The sequence below is a fragment of the Homo sapiens genome, chromosome 17, assembly GCF_000001405.40.
Source record: "Homo sapiens chromosome 17, GRCh38.p14 Primary Assembly".
NCBI lineage: Eukaryota > Metazoa > Chordata > Mammalia > Primates > Hominidae > Homo > Homo sapiens.
Window position 1 is genome coordinate 82,716,278 of NC_000017.11, and position 15,763 is coordinate 82,732,040.

General features: G+C 53.0%; 1 protein-coding gene across 2 annotated transcripts, besides 4 other annotated features; it reads left to right on the forward strand.

Annotated features, from left to right (window-relative positions):
• Positions 246–485: a silencer, noted in NCBI's record as "silent region_9225". NCBI's record gives its function as "represses an Ori minimal core promoter by ATAC-STARR-seq in GM12878 lymphoblastoid cells {active_cell/tissue: GM12878}" and the evidence as "EXISTENCE:reporter gene assay evidence [ECO:0000049][PMID:35858748]".
• On the forward strand, positions 429–11,736 carry FN3KRP (fructosamine 3 kinase related protein). 2 transcript variants are annotated; one of them, NR_046408.2, is made up of 7 exons: positions 429–619; positions 2,167–2,294; positions 2,629–2,780; positions 3,995–4,086; positions 6,527–6,609; positions 10,203–10,325; positions 10,556–11,736. NR_046408.2 is itself a non-coding variant. In NM_024619.4 (6 exons), exons 1-6 carry the CDS (start codon positions 479–481, stop codon positions 10,892–10,894), a joined length of 930 nt encoding a protein of 309 aa, NP_078895.2. In that variant the 5' UTR covers positions 429–478; the 3' UTR covers positions 10,895–11,736. The 2 variants fall into 2 exon arrangements, 1 of the variants encoding a protein (NP_078895.2); NM_024619.4 differs by lacking the exon at positions 2,167–2,294.
• Positions 506–585: a silencer, noted in NCBI's record as "silent region_9226". NCBI's record gives its function as "represses an Ori minimal core promoter by ATAC-STARR-seq in GM12878 lymphoblastoid cells {active_cell/tissue: GM12878}" and the evidence as "EXISTENCE:reporter gene assay evidence [ECO:0000049][PMID:35858748]".
• Positions 666–755: a silencer, noted in NCBI's record as "silent region_9227". NCBI's record gives its function as "represses an Ori minimal core promoter by ATAC-STARR-seq in GM12878 lymphoblastoid cells {active_cell/tissue: GM12878}" and the evidence as "EXISTENCE:reporter gene assay evidence [ECO:0000049][PMID:35858748]".
• Positions 13,504–14,004: an enhancer, noted in NCBI's record as "H3K27ac-H3K4me1 hESC enhancer chr17:80687657-80688157 (GRCh37/hg19 assembly coordinates)". NCBI's record gives its function as "activates a minimal SCP1, AML or CMV promoter by ChIP-STARR-seq in naive H9 embryonic stem cells {active_cell/tissue: H9 hESC(naive)}" and the evidence as "EXISTENCE:reporter gene assay evidence [ECO:0000049][PMID:30033119]".

Consider the following 15,763-nt stretch of genomic DNA (forward strand, 5'->3'; position numbering starts at 1 on the left):
ATCAGGAGCTCTGTTCCTCGGGTTCAGCAAACGCCCGGGCGAAAGCAATCTTAACATTCTGGGCTCCCGGCACCCAGACCTTGGGCTGATGCCCCTTGCTAGTGGGTCAGCTCTTTAGAAAATATATTCTAACTATTTCCATCAGCATTTCCACTTATTTTGTGCAGGAGAGTTGAACCCAAACCGTCTGGGTCGGGGTCGGTCAGGCCCCGCCCCCTGACGTCATCTCACCCCCACCCAATCCCCCGCGCCTACCTGCCTCCCGGCCCCTCCCCTTCCCGCCCCTCAATCCCAGCGCTCATCTCTGCGGCCACGCCCGCCCCTTCCCGCCACCCAATCCTAGCGCTTGTCTCTGCGGCCGGGCCCCGCCCCCACCCGCCCCCCGCCCAATCCTCGCGCGGACTCATGTTTGCCCGCTCGGCCGCCGTCTCTCGAGTCTCCGCCAGATCCGGGGCGGGTCCGCGGCCGCGGCGGGAACATGGAGGAGCTCCTGAGGCGCGAGCTGGGCTGCAGCTCTGTCAGGGCCACGGGCCACTCGGGGGGCGGGTGCATCAGCCAGGGCCGGAGCTACGACACGGATCAAGGACGAGTGTTCGTGAAAGTGAACCCCAAGGCGGAGGTCAGGCAGCGGGTCGGGCGGGCCGGGGGACCGGTTTCTTTCCGGAGAGGGTCGCGGGCCTCGGCGCGGGGCGCGGCCTGGGCTTCTCCCGCCGGAGGCCGTGGGTGGCTCTCCCGGGACTGCCGCCGCCGCCCCTTGCGGGGAACCCTTTGCGCGGGGCGAGCGGTGAACGGGGGCGGCGGAAGCGTCCGGGGCGTCCGGAGGAGTTTGCACCTGCGGGGAACTGTCCGGAGCAGGAACCGCGGCCGCCCCACACCTCCTGTTCTCCGTGAACTTTCTCTCGGGGGCGCTACGTGAAATGGGGCGGGACTGGCTGCTGCAGTCTTGCTCCCGGGGTTCCTGCCCTGCGGTGCTGGTTAAGTGGGGTCGTTCTAGCCGGGGAAGCTGCTTAAGTCCTCAGCTTAAGTGACTCTGGAGGTGTCCATCCCCCGTGAGCCTCGGTCAGTACGTTGTGAAACGGGGCGAAGGTGCTGCCCCCAGGCCAGCTGCTGCGCCTCACCACACCCTGGCATGCTCTGTCCTTCTGTTAGACTCATTCTCGGGCCGGGCGCGGTGGCTCACGCCTGTAATCCCAGCACTTTGGGAGACAGAGGTGGGTGGAGCGCGAAGTCAGGAGTTCGAGACCAGCCTGGCCAACAAGGTGAAACCCCCGTCTCTATTAAAAATACAAAAATTAGCTGGGCGTGGTGGCGGGCGCCTGTAATCCCAGCTACTCGGGAGGCTGAGGCAGAAGAATCGCTTGAACCCAGGAGGCAGAGGTTGCAGTGAGTCGAGATCGCGCCACTGCACTCCAGCCTGCTGGGTGACTGAATGAGACTCCGTCTCAAAAAAAAAAGAGTGTTCCTAGCAGCGGTGACATGGCAGCTGTGGTGGGGCTCTGAGGCTGAGGAGGTGGGGACTCTGAAGAACTGAAAGAAGGATGAAGACAGCTGGAAGTCAGGAGCACGAGGAGAGTGTGTGTGTCTATGTGTATGTTGTGTGTGTGTACGTTGTATGTGTGTATGTTTGTAATGTTTGTATGTTGTGTGTATGTATTGTGTGTCTGTGTGTGTGTAAGGGTGGAGCCCCAGGTGAGGATGGGAGAGTGGGCAGGGCAGTGGTGTGTGTCTCAGGAGAAAAAGAAAGGCCGCTGGCCCTGACCTGTTCTGCGGGGATCACTGCTGTGTATGTTGTGTGTGTGTGTCTGTGTGTTGTGTGTGTATGGTGTGTCTGTAAGTCGTATGTTGTGTGTGTTGTGTGTCTGTATGTGTTGTGTGTGTGTTGTGTGTCTGTATATGTTGTGTGTGTGTGTTATGTGTCTGTGTGTGTAAGGGTGGAGCCCCAGATGAGGATGGGAGAGCAGGCAGGGCAGTGGTGTGTGTAGCAGGAGGAAAGGAAAGGCCGCTGGCTCTGACTTCTACTCTAGGGATCACTGCTGTGTGGTGAGCCAGGGGGACCCAAGGGAGGAGTTGCTGTGGTCCCGGGGAGTTGGATGGAAACGGCATCTCAAGATGAGGTGGTTTCCAGTGCTGGGCAGGAGGTGGCATGGAACTTGGTGGTCTCTTCAGGTGAAAAGTGACCCCAGGTCACTGGCATAGGCAGCCAGGGTGCCGCCTGCACCTGAGAGGTCGGGTGAGTCTGTGTCCTGTAGGTGGAACAGGACTGCAGTTGAGGTGTCGTCTGAGGACACTGACAGGTAACCCATGTTCACAGTCCCACTGTTGCCGGATCTTAGTGGAATATTAGTGCCTTCGATTTTCCTCTCTCCAGAGAACCTCCCAATTCAACCACAGCACACAAGTGTAGTCCAACACTGGAAAGCTCAAGCCCTCTTCTTCCAGTACAGCCTCTGAACCTGTAGCCTACCCTGTTGGCAAGTGTGTTTGAAAACACTGTCCATGTGTATGGAATCCTCAGTCAGGATAGTCTTGGTTTGAAGTTGTAATGCTAGAGGAAAACATATCTACAGAACCTTCCGGAAGTAACCTTGCCTCCCTGTATTTCCACTTCCTCTCGTATTTTTCTGACAGGCCAGAAGAATGTTTGAAGGTGAGATGGCAAGTTTAACTGCCATCCTGAAAACAAACACGGTGAAAGTGCCCAAGCCCATCAAGGTTCTGGATGCCCCAGGCGGCGGGAGCGTGCTGGTGATGGAGCACATGGACATGAGGCATCTGAGCAGGTGCATCTTCACACCACCCCCCACCTGGCTTTATTACCTGAGCAGGTGTGTCTTCACACCTTGTTTTATTATGTGTGTCTTCACACCACCCACTGGCTGGCTTTATTATCTGAGCAGGTGTGTGTTCACACCACCCCCCAGCTGGCTTCATGCCCCGCCCCGGCTGGCTTTGTTATCTGAGCATCTGAGCAGGTGCACCCTCACACCAGCCCCCAGCTGGCTTTCTTTTCCACCAAGTGGTTCTCTGATGACTGAAGCTTGTACTGGGGACATCATTTTGAGGAGTGTAATGCAAAGAACCCGTGACTCCACATACCATGAGTTCTGCAGAATGAACGGCAGGCACTCTCTGCAACCAAGGGCAGAAGCAAGAGGAATCTCCCAAAGTGAGATGCTGACCAAAGGCCTCGCTGCACGCCGGCCGCGGTGGCTCACGCCTGGAATCCCAACACTTCGGGAGGCTGAGGCGGGTGAATCACTTGAGGTCAGGAGTTTGAGACCAGCCTGGCCAATATGGTGAAACCCCATGTCTACCAAAAATCCAAAAATTAGCTGGATGTGGTGGCAGGCGCCTCTAATTCCAGCTACTCGGGAGGCTGAGGCAGGAGAATCACTTGAACGCAGGAGGCAGAGGTTGCAGTGAGCTGAGATCGCACCACTGCACTCTAGCCTGGGCAGTAGAGCGAGACTCAGTCTCAAAAAAGAGGAAAAAAAAACCACTGCAAACTTGGATGAGGCTGGGAAAGATCGTCAAATAATCAACACCTTTATCCCCCTCTTGCTTCACCAGAACCTACTTTCTGTCCTCAAAATGTCCGACCTACTAGCCGGCTGTGGTGGCTCACGCCTCTAATCCCGGCACTTTGGGAGGCCAAGGTGGGCGGATGACTTGAGGTCAGAGTTTGAGACCAGTCTGGCCAACACAGTGAAACCCTGCCTCTACTAAAAATACAAAAAAATTAGCCAGGCATGGTGGCGGGCACCAGTAATCCCAGCTACTCGGGAGGCTGAGGCAGGAGAATCGCTTGAACCTGGGAGGCGGAGCTTGCAGTGAGCCGAGATCGTGCCACTGCCCTCCAGCCTGGGTGACAGAGCGAGACTCCATCTCAAAAAAATAAAAAAGTTTGACCCTCTTTATGTGCCCTGAGACTGAGCAGTGGGTGTGTTGCCATTCTGTGTGTCATCTGTTTAGTTGCTGTCGTTTGATTTGACAGTCATGCTGCAAAGCTTGGAGCCCAGCTGGCCGATTTACACCTTGATAACAAGAAGCTTGGAGAGATGCGCCTGAAGGAGGCGGGCACAGTGGGTATGGCACTGCGCGGGCCACGGGTGCTCCCGCCTAGAGGAGGACGTTCAGCCGGTGTGGGCTCAGAGCGGGGGCCGTGCAGCAGCCGTGGGAGGGTCGGACGTGGGCTGATGGCAGAGCAAGGGAATGTCGGCCTTGAGCCGCATCTCACGGTGCACTGAACACAGTGACTGTGATGCGTCTGTTGTGTCCTAAATGCATTTGAAAGATGAAAACATTTGCTGGACACAAGACACCCCTAGTGTTACAGTTACTTTTACCTCTCGTTCCCCAGAAGAGTGTAAGCAGAGGCTCTCTGGCTGTCTGTAAAAGGCAAGACCTTTAACCCAGGGTCTGTTCCTGTAAAACAGTCATACTTGAGGCTCAGAATTACAGCCATCATGTCTGACCTTTCCAGAGCATAACGCGCTGTCAGGATCGAGGGAATTTTCCGGTATTTTAATCTGCTGACATTTGGAATCCGTGTGCAGCCCACATGGTAAATGTGGGGAGATTTGCTGATGATCGGAACAGATCACCAGGGGCCTGCTGTAGGAGACGGAGACATGCTGTTAGTCTGTTCTGTGAGGGTCCATGACGGATCCACCCAGGCGGCCTGTGTGGTGAGGATCCACTGAGAGGCCTCCCAGGTCGCCTGTCCTGTCTCTTCCAGTCTTAACGGAGTTTAGTCCATTGGGATTTTCCTTGAATTAGGGAGACTGCAGAGGAGTGAGATTCTTTCTTTCTTTCTTTCTTTTTTTTGAGACGGAGTTTCACTCTTGTCCCCCAGGCTGGAGGGCAGTGGTGCAATCTTGGCTCACCGTGACCTCTGCCTCCTGGGTTCAAGCGATTTTCCTGCCTCAGCCTCCTGAGTAGCTGGGATTACAGGTGCATGCCACTGTGCCCACCTAATTTTTGTATTTTTAGTAGAGACGGGGTTTCACCATGTAGGCCAGGCTGGTCTCAATCTCCTGACCTCAGGTGATCCACCCACCTCAGCCTCCCAAAGTGCTGGGATTACAGGCGTGAGCCACTGCACCCTGCCTGAGATTATTTCAAAGCACAATAGTTTATCTGACACACATGGCACCAGGTTTGCCACTGAGAGCCATCCTTTCTGATGGATTGGGGGCAGATTCTTTTTCCTCTTTATTTATTTATTTTTATTTTATTTTTTTGAGAAGGAGTCTTGCTTTGTTCCCCAGGCTGGAGTGCAGTGGCATGATCTCTGCTCACTGCAAGCTCCGCCTCCCGGGTCCACGCCATTCTCCTGCCTCAGCCTCCTAAGTAGCTGGGACTACAGGCGCCTGCCACCACGCCTGGCTAATTTTTTGTATTTTTAGTAGAGACAGGGTTTCACCGTGTTAGCCGGGATGGTCTCGACTTCCTGACCTCGTGATCCACCTGCCTCGGCCTCCCAAAGTGCTGGGATTACAGGCATGAGCTACTGGGCCTGGCCTGTTTTTTACTTTTTATGTTTTTTATGTTTTGTTTTGTTTTGTTTTTTTTGAAATGGAGTTTTGCTCTTGTTGCCCAGGCTGGAGTGCAGTGGCGCGATCTCAGCTCACCGCAACCTCCGCCTCCTGGGTTCAAGTGATTCTCCTGCCTCAGCCTTCTGAGTAGCTGGGATTACAGGCATGCGCCACCATGCCCAGCTAATTTTGTATTTGTAGTAGAGATGGGGTTTCTCCATGTTGGTCAGGCTGGTCTCAAATTCCCGACCTCAGGTGATCCACCTGCCTTGGCCTCCCAAAGTGCTGGGATTACAGGCATGAACCACTGTGCCCGGCCATTTTTATGGTTTTTTTTGAGACGGAGTTTCACTCTCGTTGCCCAGGCTGGAGTGCAATGGAGCGATCTCGGCTCACTGCAACCTCCGCCTCCCGGGTTCAAGTGATTCTCCTGCCTCAACCTCCCGAGTAGCTGGGATTATAGGCGCCTGCCACCATGCCTAGCTAATTTTTATATGTTCAGTAGAGACAGGGTTTCACCACGTTGGGCAGGCTGGTCTCGAACTGCTGACCTCCGGTGATCCGCCCACCTCAGCCTCCCAAAGTGCCTTTCCTCTTTAAGAACATCCTCCCCTTTGTTTCCTGACACAGTGTGGTCTTCCCCCACACCCCCGCGTGTTGGGATGTGAGACAGGTCCCCTGAGAGGTGCCCGCAGGCTGCCTGTCCTGTGTGTGTCCTCTGGTGCCCCTGCTCGGGAGCAGCTAGTGTCTTTGATGCTGACGTCTGCTGGAGGCCACAGGCTCCTAGTGTTTTTGATGCTGACATCTGCTGGAGCAGGCTCTGTTAGGGGTGTTGTGTGAGCTGGTGGAGACCCAGGCCCTGTTTGTCTCTGGCAGGGGCATAAGCTGGTAGGAGCTCGCTGAGGTCGTGTCTGAAGGTGACTCAGTTTCGAGAGTGGGCGCTGGGATCCCTTGGAACTAATTTCCTTTCTTTTACTTTTGCTTGCAAGGGAGAGGAGGTGGGCAGGAGGAACGGCCCTTTGTGGCCCGGTTTGGATTTGACGTGGTGACGTGCTGTGGATACCTCCCCCAGGTGAGTGCACGGCGTTTGCTTCTATTTCACAATCAGGTCAGCTGTTCAGACACACGGGTTGGGGGGACACACCCCCCTCCTTTTTTTGTGAGCTTCAGTAAAAGTATTTGCACCATTTTTTCTTTGCTGATGTTTGAGAGGTTGACGTAAGATTGACCCACCTAATATGCTAGGTAAGCATGAAGAAACTGAGGAGGACCAGCAAGTTAGGAGCTGGATTTCAAGGTGGGTAAAAATGAGGGAATTTAACAAATGTTTTAGGTATACTAAACTCTCAAAGAGGGTGGAATGACAAGGGTTTGTCACTTTTGGTTGTGTGATTTTATGGTGGCTTCCCTCCGCATTTCCACCTGGGGAGTTCTGCTTGACGCCCAGCACATGTGCAGTGGACAGGGCTCCTGTCCTGTCCTCGAGAGGAGGGTACAGATGAACCCAGAAAACTTGCCAGGGTTTCCTGGCGGGCGCGGGGGCAGTAGAAAGACTTTGAAATGTTGAAGTTTGTTCAGAAACCTGCTTAGGGGCGGGGAGTGGTGCCCTCTGGTCCTGCCTGCTGGCGGGGGGTGGGGGGTTTTCGCCAGCTCCGCCCCTTCGTCTCGTGGCTGTACTCACAGTGTGTGTGTGCATGTGTGTGTGTGCATATGTGTATTTGTGTGCACGCACGTCTGTGCGCATATGTGTATGTGTGTGCATGTGTGTGCATATGTGTGCATGTGTATGTGCACGCATGTGTGCATATGTGTATGTGTGCACACGTGTGTGCATGTGTGTACGCGTGTGCGCGCACATGTATGTGTGCAGGCGTGTGTGCGCATGACTGTGTGCCTGATGCATGATGTTGGCGTCGTGTGCTACTCCAGTCGTGTGTGTCTGTCTTGCTTCCCTCCTGGGTGGTAAGCACCTGTGACCTGGATGTCCTTTCTCGGGGTCCTTCTCAATGGGGCTCCATGTGACTTTTCCTGTCATCACTGTCTGGGGAGGGGCTGTCTGGACAGATGTCAGAAGTGAGCCATGGGGTTGGGGCAGGTCAGCCAGCTCTGGCCTCAGTACTCCAGTGTGATTGTAAATTAAGAGGAAATGTTAGCCAGTTGCTTTAGCAGCAAAAAAAAAATTTTTTTTTTTAAATAAAAAAGCCCTGGTGGTTCATGCCTGTAATTCCAGCACTTTGGGAGGCCGAGGTGGGAGGATTGCTTGAGCCCAGCAGTTCGAGACCAGCCTGGCCAACATGGTGAAACCCTCTCTCTAGTAAAAATACAAAAAATTAGCAGGGTGTGGTGGTGCGTGCCTGTAGTTCCAGCCACTTGGAAGGCTGAGGTGGGAGGATTGCTTAAGCCTGGGAATTGAAGGCTGCAGTGAGCTGTGATTGCACCACTGCACTCCAGCTTGGGTAATGGAGCAAGACCTTGTTTCACAAAGATGAAAAAGAAAGAAAATGTTCTGGACCGGGCACGGTGGCTCACGCCTGTAATCTCAGCACTTTGGGAGGCCGAGGCGGGCAGATCACGTGAGGTAGAGTTTGAGACCAGCCTGACCAACATGGTGAAATCCTGTCTCTACTAAAAATACAAAAATTAGCCGGGCATGGTGGTGCGCACCTGTAATCCCAGCTACTCTGGGGGCTGAGGCAGGAGAATCGCTTGAACCCGGGAGACAGAGATTGCAGTGAGCTGAAATCACGCCATTGCACTCCAGCCTGGGTGACAAGAGTGAAACTTCATCTCAAAAAAGAAAAAAAAAAAGTAAAAAGTAAACTAAAAGGTAGTACAGTCAGATATCTTCTGTTACATATGGAACCTGTAAAGGCCAAAAGTGTGCTGCATGTGTGCCAACCAGAGCACGAGGGAGCAGGCCCCATGGCACCCTGTGATGTGAGTGTGACTTGGGACAACGATCTTTATGGGCAGCAACGTGGCAATGCCTATCAAAAAAAAAATTTTTTTTTTGAGATGGAGTCTCGCTCTGTCACCCAGGCTGGAGTGCAGTGGTGCGATCTTGGCTCACTGCAAGTTCCGCCTCCCAGGTTCACGCCATTCTTCTGCCTCAGCCTCCTGAGTAGCTGGGACTACAGGTGCCTGTCACCATGCCCGGCTAATTTTTTTTTGTATTTTTAGTAGAGATGGGGTTCCACCGTGTTAGCCAGGACAGTCTCAATCTCCTGGCCTTGTGATCTGCTTGCCTCAACCTCCCAAGGTGCTGGGATTACAGGCATGAGCCACCGTGCCTGGCCAAAAATTTAAAATTTAGTTTTAATTTTAATTTTAAAAGATAGAGTCTCTCTCTGTTGCCCAGGCTGGAGAGCAGTGGCATGATCATAGCTCACTGCAGCCTCAAACTTTCTGGGCTCAAGCCATCCTCCTGCCCCAGCCTCCCATGTAGCTGGGACTACAGGCATACACCACCACACTTGGCTAATTTTTTAATTTTTTTTGTAGAGACAGGGGTCTCACTATGTTGCCCAGGCTGGTCTCAAACTCCTGGGCTCAAGTGATCCTCCCACCTCAGCCACGCAAAATGCTGGGATTACAGATATTGCTCACCACTCCCAGCCCCCTTTCAAATTTTTTAATTTATTTAATTTATTTTTTTGAAATGGAGTCTCGCTGTCACCCAGGCTAGAGTGCAGTGGTGCGATCTTGGCTCACTGCAACCTCCAGCTTCCGGGTTCAATCAGTTCTCCTGCCTCAGCCTCCTGTGTGACTGGGATTACAGGCGCCCACCACCACGTCCGGCTAATTTTTGTATTTTTAGTACAAGCATGAGCCACCACACCTGGCCCCCCTTTCAAAATTTTAAATGGACTTATGCTCTGACCCAGTAATTATCCTTTAGGATTTATTCTACAGGCATATTTACACGTATGCAAAATGGCACAGACACAAGGGTATTTGCTGTGCCACTCTTGGTACTATGACAAGGAAAATCCAGAGGAGCACTGGGTGAAGTCCTGGTGCATCATCTGATGAACTATTGTCAGCTGCTACAAAACAACGTAAAGAAAGTGGGAGCAGGGCCAGGTGCAGTGGCCCACGCCCGCCCGTAATCCCAGCACTTTGAGAGGCTGAAGCGGGCAGATCACCTGAGGTCAGGAGTTTGAGACCAGCCTGACCAACATGGCGAAACCCCGTCTCTACTAAAAATACAAAAAAATTAGCCGGGCGTGGTGGTGCATGCTTGTAATCCCAGCTACTTGGGAGGCTGAGGCAGGAGAATTGCTTGAACCCGGGAGGCAGAGGTTGCAGTGAGCCGAGATGGCGCCACTGCACTCCAGCCTGGGCAATGAGAGCGAAACTCTATCTCAGAAAAAAGAAAAAGAAAAAAAAATGTTCTAGAAGCCTTCATTCTTGGAAGGCTACAGAGTGGGTCCTGAAGCATCCCCATGCTTCCCACTGCTCTTGGGATAGGATCTGAGGTCTCAGCATGTCCATGAGACTCCGGTTCCTCCTGGGATGTGGTTCCCCCCTCAGGCTCCTGTGACTGCCACCCCTCCCACGTGCCGCTCCTGCAGCCCTCTCCACTTTGAGATGCTTGTGGGTAGCTGAGCTCTCCCTTGGTTCTGGCATTTTCCAGTGAACTGTGCTTTTGCTGTTACTGTGCAGGTGAATGACTGGCAGGAGGACTGGGTCGTGTTCTATGCCCGGCAGCGCATTCAGCCCCAGATGGACATGGTGGAGAAGGAGTCTGGGGACAGGGAGGCCCTCCAGCTTTGGTCTGCTCTGCAGGTGAGTGGGGCCCCACTGCATGCCCAGCACCTGCCACACACCCCACTTGCCTGAGGTAGGGGAGGCACCAAGGCAGGTGAGGCCACCTCTGAGTCTGATTCTGGGTGGGAAGCGGGTGCCTGGTGGTGTGCTATCCGCTGCTGCCTGGGCTGGGGGCGGTGGGGACCTGGAGCGGCGCCCCTCATGCACGCGTTGATCAATTTGCTGAGGCTCCATTTTCCTCCCTGCAGTTAAAGATCCCTGACCTGTTCCGTGACCTGGAGATCATCCCAGCCTTACTCCACGGGGACCTCTGGGGTGGAAACGTAGCAGAGGATTCCTCTGGGCCGGTGATTTTTGACCCAGCTTCTTTCTACGGCCACTCGGAATATGAGCTGGCAATAGCTGGCATGTTTGGGGGCTTTAGCAGCTCCTTTTACTCCGCCTACCACGGCAAAATCCCCAAGGCCCCAGGATTCGAGAAGCGCCTTCAGTTGTATCAGCTCTTTCACTACTTGAACCACTGGAATCATTTTGGATCGGGGTACAGAGGATCCTCCCTGAACATCATGAGGAATCTGGTCAAGTGAGCGGGCCTTACTCTGGAAGGAGGCCTCAGAGGTTTCTCCACAGTCCTCTTCTGGGCAAATTCTTGTTTCTTCACATGCTGGACTAGCTTAAGACCAATGCAGTAGCTTATTTCCAAGCCTTGCAAAGTATATAATATCTAAGAGGAAAGGTTTTGTCATCCCAGCGTTGTCCACTTTGTGGGGCTTTGTAGGTAGACGGAGCCACACTACAGGCAGGGTATGAGCAGAGGGATGTATGGAGTGTGGGTGACTCTGAGCCTCACTGCTGCTGCAAGGTGGGGAAACTGTAAGTGAACCCCTGTGGGTGCGGGGGAGGGTATCCGGTGCGCAGGGAGGTGGCCAGCGCCCCCGGGCACTGCTGCTCATAGGTACCTTTCCACTGCCTCCTCCCTGCTCTCCTGTGCAGGAATGTCTCTGAGCTGTTCACGTTGATGCTTCTTGGTTGGCAAGACTTGGGTGTAGACATGAAACCATCTTACTAAAAGCGTCTTAAAATGACCAATTCCAGAATCAAGCGTATTCCGTTTTCTTCCTGCATGATCCCTGGGCCCTCCCGCAGGCTGAGCAAGTCTGTAAACTGATTCTGGGAGAAACCAAGCTGCTGGCCATAGGGTGTCCTTGGGTACATCCAGGAGTCTTCATTGCTTCTGTTATTACCCCGTCTCCTCTGCCATTTTCTACAGCTTGCTGAGTTGTCATTCCTTTGCAACATTAAAATACATGCTGAACTCATATTTTTCCTTCCTTCACTGTTGTAGTAAAGAGACATATTTCATGAATGGCATTGATGCTAATAAATCCTTTGCACAAAAATTTGAATAAACTTCCAGTGGTTTCGATAACGTACAAGATTGTATATTTCCCTCATTTATTGTAATTCAATATCTTAGTTGTTTGCTGAAAAACTTGTAATATTTTGTGACAAACAGGTACAACTAGTGTTTTTGTTGTTGTTTTTAGAGACGGTCTTGTTCTGTTGCCTAAGCTGCAGTGCGGTGGCATGATCATAGCTCACTGCAGCCTCAAACTCCCAGGTTCTAGCAGTCCTCCCATCTCAGCCTCTTGAGTAGCTGGAACTACAGGCGTGCACCACCACACCCGGCTAATTTTTGTATTTTTAGTAGAGATGAGGTTTTGCCATGTTGCCCAGGCTGGTCTCAAACTCCTGAGCTCAAGCAATCCTCCCACCTTAGCCTCCCGAGTGCTGGGATTACAGGCCTGAGCCACCATGCCTGACCCAACTGTTCTTTCTTTCTTTCTTTTTTTTTTTTAAGACAGAGTCTCACTGTTTCCAAGCTGGAGTGGTGCAATGGTGCGATCTCAGCTCCCTGCAACCTCTGCCCTCCGCCTTCTGGGCTCAAGCAATTCTCATGTCGCAGCCTCCTGAGTAGCTGGAGTAGTCGGTGTGTCACCACAGTGGCTAATTTTTGTATTTTTAGTAGAGACGGGGTTTCACCATGTTGCCCAGGCTGGTCTCCAACTCCTGACTTCAGGCAATCAACCCGCCTCAGCCTCCCAGCTGTTTCTTTTTTCTTTTTCTTTTTGAGATGGAGTCTTGCTCTGTCACCCAGGCTGGAGTATAGTGGTGCGATCTCAGCTCACTGCAACCTCTGCCTCCTGGGTTCAAGGATTCTCCTGTCTCAGCCTCCCGATGTAGCTGGGATTACAGGTGTGTGCCACCACACCTGGCTAATTTTTGTATTTCTAGTAGAGATGGGATTTTGCCATCTTGGCCAGGCTGGTCTTGAACTCCTGGCCTCAAGGAATCTGCCTGCCTTGGCCTCCCAAAGTGCTGGGATTACAGGCCTGACCCACCATCCCTGACCCAACTATTGTTTCTTAAAAAAAACTCTTTTTAACCTTGCCTTTTTGTTAGGGTAGAAGGATAGCTCAGAGCTTCAAAGAGCAGGACTAGCCTAAGAACTGTCTGTGATATTTGACCAGAGGTGCAGCCTAGCTGCCATTCTTCCTCACCCTGTGGAAGACATTAAAGGGAGAATGAAAGTAGCTGTAGAATTACCTTTGGGGGAAGAAGCCACTTGGTGAACTTGGCAAACACCCGTGTTTGAGGGGTCACCCAGGGTGTCATGAGCTGGGCCGGAGGGGATGGATTGATTACTTGTCTTGTTTGCTTGTTTCTGTTGTAAGTCAGGGCCCCTCAGCAGAAGGCAGAACAGAACCGAGTTCCTTTAGAATGCTGGTTTTTGTGTGGAGTGAGGAAGGACCGTGAGTGTGGTCAGTTTCCAACCTGACAGGACCTGCTCCCGTTGGCCAGGACTGCAGCTTGTTACTTTGACCCTGGGAAGAAGGTAAGTGTTCCCAAGAAAAGGGACGTCCCAAAGCGGCGCCATCCCGATGGCACGTGTGCTGCTCGACTCCCTGCCGGGTAGGTCCATCCTGACGGCGCATGTGCCCCTCAGCTCCCCCCACTGGGTAGGTCCATCCCGACAGCACCTGTGCTGCTCGACTCCCCCCACTGGGTGGGTCCATCCCGACAGCACCTGTGCCGCTCGACTCCCCCCACTGGGTAGGTCCATCCCGACAGCACCTGTGCTGCTCGACTACCCGCCGGGTAGGTCCATCCCGACAGCACCTGTGCCCCTCACCTCCCTGCCAGACGGTGCGTGTGCCGCTTGGCTCCCCACCAGGTAGGTCCATCCCGACAGCACCTGTGCCGCTCACCTCCCCACCGGGTAGGTCCATCCCGACAGCACCTGTGCCGCTCACCTCCCTGCCGGGTAGGTCCATCCCGACGGCGCGTGTGCCGCTTGGCTCAAGGCCCTGACATCGTTCCACTCAGCACAGCATCAGGTGCCCGGGACCCGGGACATCATCGTTCTGTGTCAGCACATCAGGTGCCCGGGGCCCGGACATCATCGTTCCACTCAGCACAGCATCAGGTGCCTGGGACCCTGGACATCATTGTTCTGCTCAGCACAGCATCAGGTGCCCGGGACCCTGGACGTCATTCTGCATCAGCACAACATCACCAGTGACGAGAGCCTCCCCAAGTGGTTGACGGGAAGGATGGTTCGGTCCTCCAGAGGCGGTGGCCTTCTCTTCCTCGATGACATTGCCGGGCTGCACCTTGTGAGAGGCCGTCGCTGAGAGTGCAGCCAAATGGAACCATCAGGAGGGGTGTCTCGGGGGTGTCGAAATGGTAAACAGTAGTGGGTAGTTTTCAGATTTTGCAATGCTGCGGTATGTGTCAGCTTTTTATTTTTTATTTTCTTTTTTATTTAATTTTAATTTTTCTTAGACAGTCTCACTCTGTCACCCAGGCTGGAGTGCAGTGACATGATCTCGGCTCACTGCAGTCTCCGCCTCCCAGGTTCAAGGGATTCTCCTGCCTCAGACTCCCCAGTAGCTGAGATTACAGGCACCTGCCACCATACCTGGCTAATTTTTATATTTTTAGTAGAAATGGGGTTTCACCATGTTGATCAGGCTGGTCTCGAACTCCTGACCTCAAGTGATCCGCCCACCTCGGCCTCCCAAAGTTCTGGGATTACAGGTGTGAGCCGCCGCATCTGGCCCCGTGTCAGCATTTTAAATTTGTAAGTTGATGCAATGCTTATTCTAAAATATCTAATTTTGTATTATTATAATATATGCATGTTATATATTTTTATATATACACACTTTTTCATAAAGGGCTATCAAAATCCTATAGGCTTCAGGCACAATAGATGCCCTTGCATCTACTCAGAGTTGATTCTTCTGGATTATTCTGTCCATGAGAGACCATATGCATGTCATCAGAGGATGAACTTCTCATCCAAAGCTGTGCTGTTTTCTGGGCTGGCTCAGCTGGAAGAGATGGGGGAGGGGATAGGTTCTGATTTGGAGGCATAGTTTTTTGTTTTTTGTTTTTGAGGTGGAGTCTCACTCTATCGCCCAGGACATCTGGGAGTGCAGTGGTGACATCTTGGCTCACTGCAACCTCCACCCTCCGAGTTCAAGCGATTCTCCTGCCTCAGCCTCCCAACTGGGATTACAGGCACCTGCCACCGTGCCCAGCTAATTTTGTTTTGTATTTTTAGTAGAGATGGGGTTTTACCATCTTGGGCAGTCTGGTCTTGAACTCCTGATCTCGTGATCCACCCACCTCAGCCTCCCAAAGTGCTGGGATTACAGGCGTGAGCCACCACGCCCGGCCTGGAGACATGGTTTTAAGGGACAGCTGTGTGCTATGTCCTTGCAGGCTGCTGTGTTGACATCTGAAAGCACAGAGGGACTGGGCTCTGGACACAGCTCCGAGACTCCTCGGTCAAGGGAACAGCTGGAAGAGGTTTGTTCTCTTTGGGCAGCCGTGAACATCGCTAGGACCTCCGGGGAGGAAGTCCAGGGAAATGGTAGTTGCCCTGAGCTCCCATCCAGGACTCTCAGTTCTCATCTTTGGGATCTTGGGGGCAATGTGGCTCCACTTTTTATTTCTTACTGTAAGTGGGATTATATCAAAACACCTAATCTAACACAGTCAGAGCGTCAGCTTTTCCACAGAAGTGAATCTTTAGATACCTGAAGACAAGCCTTCTGTCCCAAAGCGTTTTACTTTTCATCCTTTTAATGAAAGTGCGCCTAAAGCGGCCAGGCGCAGTGGCTCACGCCTGTCATCCCAGCACTCTGGGAGGCCGAGGTGGGCGGATCACCTGAGGTCAGGAGTTCGAGACCAGCCTGGCAAACATGGCAAAACCCTGTCTCTACCATAAATATGAAAATTAACTGGGCGTGGTAACGTGCGCCTGCAATCTCAGCTACTCGGGAGGCTGAGGCAGGAGAATTGCTTGAACTCGGGAGGCGGAGGTTGCAGTGAGCCGAGATCGTGTCACTGCACTCCAACTTGGAGACAGGGCAAGACTCCATCTC